The sequence below is a fragment of the Homo sapiens genome, chromosome 13 (genome assembly GCF_000001405.40).
Source record: "Homo sapiens chromosome 13, GRCh38.p14 Primary Assembly".
Lineage (NCBI taxonomy): Eukaryota > Metazoa > Chordata > Mammalia > Primates > Hominidae > Homo > Homo sapiens.
Genome location: NC_000013.11, coordinates 61920730 through 61925641, shown reverse-complemented (window position 1 = coordinate 61925641; position 4912 = coordinate 61920730). Strand labels below are relative to the sequence as shown.

The 4912-nt window shown below is 39.3% G+C and overlaps 1 annotated feature.

Annotated features, from left to right (window-relative positions):
- Positions 3467-4017: an enhancer, noted in NCBI's record as "OCT4-NANOG hESC enhancer chr13:62495758-62496308 (GRCh37/hg19 assembly coordinates)". NCBI's record gives its function as "activates a minimal SCP1, AML or CMV promoter by ChIP-STARR-seq in primed H9 embryonic stem cells {active_cell/tissue: H9 hESC(primed)}" and the evidence as "EXISTENCE:reporter gene assay evidence [ECO:0000049][PMID:30033119]".

Here is a 4912-nt window from a genome sequence, read left to right as displayed (position 1 = left end):
CAGATGCTCTTGTGGGTCTTGTCTGATTAGTGTCCAGTCTGACCATTCTCCTGGCACTGGGATCCTGATCTTGTTTGCCCCAGGCATCCCGGGGGAAATTGTGGTTCTTCCAATGGAAGGTACAAATTTAATACAATAGAAATTACGTTCAAAGAATTATTACTTACAGATCAGGGGTGGACGGCACCATAAGTCAGGAGGGCCATCCTCTGTGCCTGGGTCACACAAGGCAGGAATGAAGAGTAAGGCAGAGAGAGAGAAAAAGAAAGAACATGGCAACTATGATGGTATATTTAAGGGAATAGGGTGTGGGTCTCTAAAATTCGTGGGTAAATACCTGAATAGTAACTCCATTTAAAGGAAGCCACAGAAAAGTGGGGAACCCAATCTGAGAGGTAGGAAAGATGCCTCTATGTTCTTATCTCTGACCAATGTCCTGGACCATTTGGTTGTGCTGTTCTACTTCTAATGCCTAGGTAGAAATTCTTACTGTGTTCTTGTTACAACACCCACTCACAGATTATTATTGTACATAGTTTGCCTGCATTTACTTCTGATTTCATTCTTTGCATAGTCATTTACTTATTAAATAAATATGTATATATCAGAAATCCCCTCCTGTCCTCATAGGATTTGCATTCTGTTGGAACAAGACAAATATTAAGCAATAAGCAATAAGTACAAAAGGAAATTTGTAGTTTGTTTATAAAAACAGTAGAGAGAATAGAGTAAGGGGGATTGGGAATATTTAGTGAATGTTGGTATTTCAAACAGAGTGTGATAGCAAGGCTAACTGATAATAGGACAAATGAACAAGATCAGTAGCTCATGCCTGTAATTCTTGTGCTTTTGGAGGCTGAGATGGGGGGGTTGATTTAGCCCAGGAATTCGAGACCAGGGCTGAGCACCATAGTGAGATCTCATCTCTCTAAAGAATTAACAAAAACAAAAACAGAAAGCAAACAAAAAACATTAGCTAGGCATGGTGGCACATGACTTTGATTTTAGCTGCTCAAGAGGCTGAGGTGGGCAGAGCCCAGGAGTTTGAGGAGGCTGCAATGTGCCATGATCCTGTCCTGCACTCCAGCCTGTTTCAACACAAAGAGAGAGAGAGAGAGTAAATAAGACATTTGTAGAAGGTAAAAATATTAGACATGTCTCAGGATACAAAATCAGAGTGCAAAAATTACAAGCATTCCCATACACCAACAGTGGACAAGCAGAGAGCCAAATCATGAATGAACTCCCATTCACAATTGCTACAAAGAGAATAAAATACCTAGGAATACAGTGAACAAGGGTGGTAAAGGACATCTTCAAGGAGAACTACAAACCATGCTCAAGGAAATCAGAGAGGACACAAACAAATGGAAAAACAATCCATGTTCAGAGTGCTGAGACCAACTCGGTCAGGGAGACCCTAACCCAGCAGCGCTAGAGGAATTAAAGATGCACACATGGAAATTTAGAGGTGTGGAGTGGGAAATCAGGGGTCTCACAGCCTTCAGAGCTGAGAGCCTTGAACAGAGATTTACCCACGTATTTATTGACAGCAAGCCAGTGATAACCATTGTTTCTATAGATTATAGACTAACTAAAAGTATTCCTTACAGGAAACAAAGGGATGGGCCAAAATAAAGGGATGGATTTGGCTAGTTATCTGCAGCAGGAGCATCTCCTTAAGGCACAGATAGCTCATGCTACTGTTTGCGGTTTAGGAACGACTTTAAGCTGTTTTCCGATCTGGGTGAGAGAGGTGTTCCTTGCCCTCTTTCTGGTAAATGCACAACCTTCCAGTGTGGGTGTCATGGCCATCATGAACATGTCACAGTGCTGCAGAGATTTTGTTTATGGCCAGTTTTGGGGCCAGTTTATGGCCAGATTTTGGGGGCTCATTCCCAACACAGGGATAGGAAGAATTAATACTGTGAAATAGCCATACTGCCCAAAGTAATTTATAGATTCAATGCTATTCCATTAAACTACCATTGACATTCTTCAAAGAATTAGAAAAAAACCACTTTAAAATTCATGTGGAACCAAAAAAAGAGCCTGTATAGGCAAGATTATCCTAAACAAAATGAACAAAGCTGCAGACATCATGCTACACAACTTTAAACTATGCTACAAGGCTACAGTAACCAAAACAGCATGGTAGAAAAACAGATACATAGACCAATGGAACAGAATAGAGATATCAAATAAGACCATACAAATGCAATCATCTTATCTTCAACAAATCTGACAAAAACAACCAATGAGGAAAGAATTCCATATTTAATAAATAGTTCTGGGATAACTGGCTAGCCATATGCAGAAAATTGAAACTGGATGCCTTGCTTATACCTCATACAAAAATTAATTCAAGAAGGATTAAAGACTTAAATGTAAACCAAAAATTATAAAAACCCTAGAATAAAATCTAGGCAATACCATTCAGCACATAGGCAAGTGTAAAGGTTTCATGATGAAAATGTCAAAGCAACTACAACAAAAGAAAAAATTCACAAATAGGATCTAATTAAACTAAGAAGCTTCTGCACAGCAAAAGAAACTACCTATCATCAGAGTGAAGAGACAACCTACGGAATGGGATTAAATGTCTGCTATCTATCCATCTGACAAAGGTCTAATATCCAGAATCTACAAGGAACTTAAATAAATTTACAAGAAATAAACAACCACATGAAAAGGTGGGCAAAGGTCATGAACAAACACTTCTCAAAAAAAGACATTTATGTGGCCAACAACCACATGAAAAAAAAAGTTCAACGTAACTGATCATTAGAGAAATGCAAATCAAAACCACAATGAGATACCATTTCATGCCAGTAAGAATGGCCATTATTAAAAAGTCAAGAAACAACAGATGCTGATGAGGCTGTGGAGAAATATGAATCCTTTTACACTGTTGGTGGGAATGTAAATCTGTTCAACCATTGTGGAAGACAGTGTGGCAATTCCTCAAAGACCTACAACCAGAAATACCATTCAACCCAGCAATCCCATTGCTTGGTATATACCCAAAGGAATATAAATCATTCTAGTATAAAAATACATGCACACATATGTTTATTGCAGCACTCTTCAAAATAGCAAAACGTGGAATTAACCCAAATGCCCATCAATGATAGACTGGATAAAGCAAATATGGTACATATACACCATGGAATACTATGCAGCCATAAAAATGAATGAGATCATGTCCTTTGCAGGGACATGGAGGGAGCTGGAAGACATTATCCTCGGCAAACTAACACAGGAACAGAAAACCAAACACCACATATTCTCACTTATAAATGGGAGCTGAACAATGAGAACACATGAACACAGGGAGGGGAAAAACCCACACTTGGGCCTTGCGGGGGCAGGGTGGCAGGGGGAGAGTGAACATCAGGAAAAATATCTAATGCATGCAGGGCCTAATAGTTACGTGATGGGTTGATAGGTGCAGCAAATCACCATGGAACACATTTACCTATGTAACAAACCTGCACATCCTGCACATGTATCCCAGAACTAAAAATAAAATAAAATTTTAAAAAATGGTAGACATGTGAAAATCTGAGGGAATTGTATTTCAGATAGAGAAAAGAGGCAGAGCAGAACACTTGTTTCAAAAGTGTCCCAGATGGATGTATCCAAGAAACAGAGTGGTAGTCAGTGTGGTCAGGGTGGGGAGAGGAAAGAAGGGGATAGTAGGAAAGAAGTAATGTAAGTAACAATGGGAAAGCCCAGGAGGTCATTTTAAGCATTGAACTTTTAATGTGAATAACATAGGGAGCCACTGCAGGATGTGGAGCAAGGTGACTTAATGTGGCTTACATTTCTTCAGTGTCATCCAGGTGGCTGTATTGAACATATGGGGGCAAGTGTAAAACCAGAATACATTGATGCAGTATGGAGAAGAGCTAAAAGTTACTTTGTCTGCAGAGGAAGTGGTAGATTCGGTGAGATGGAGTAAGATTCTGTGTATATTTTAAGGCAGACAATAGTAATTGCAGCAGATTGGATAAGGAGCAGGAGCCAAAGTGAGAAATTGATTTCTCCAAGATTTTTGTCCTGTGCAACAGAAAGAATAAAGTTTCCAACAAGTGAGGTAAGAAAATATTAGATGATATTTAAATATCAATTTTTAGAGGAATATTGGGAGATTGTTATAGGCATGGTAAGGTTGGACTATCCATTACAACGTAAAATGTGGATGTAGAATAAGTTTTTTGTTTTGTTTTGTTTTGTTTTGTTTTTGAGACAGTCTTGTTCTGTCGCCCCGGCTGGAGTGCAGTGACACAAACTCGGCTCATTGCAACCTCAGCCTCCTGAGTTCAAGCGATTCTCGTGCCTCAGCCTCTCAAATAGCTTGGATTACAGGCACCTGGCACCACATCCGGCTAATTTTTTGTATTTTTAGTAGAGATGAGTTTTCACCATGTTAGCCAGGCTGGTCTCAAACTCCTGAACTCAGGTGATCTGCACACCTTGTCCCAAAGTGCTAGGATTACAGGCGTGCGCCACCACTCTCTGCTAGAGTAAGTATTAATAGATGAATATGTGACTCGGGAGATTGGAGGAGATATTTTTTAAATGTCCTTTGCACATTGGTGACATGTACATCTATGAGGCCAGAGGGAGTCACAAAGGTAGTAAATGTAGGTGAAAGAGAAGAGAATCAAAGACTAATCCCTGAAACACTCCCAAATAAAGAGATTGGGAGATAAAGAGAAAGATAAACAAACTGAGAGATAGGGGCCAAGTAAGATGAAAACTGAATTGACCTGTTAATATCAAAATGTAGGTGACAAGTGGAGCAATTTTCATGACTTGGTATATTTTCAGGTTTGGTTAATTTTGAGCATTTTAAATCTCTTTTAGTTTTCTCTCTGGTGCTTACCACGTATTCAATAATCTGTTT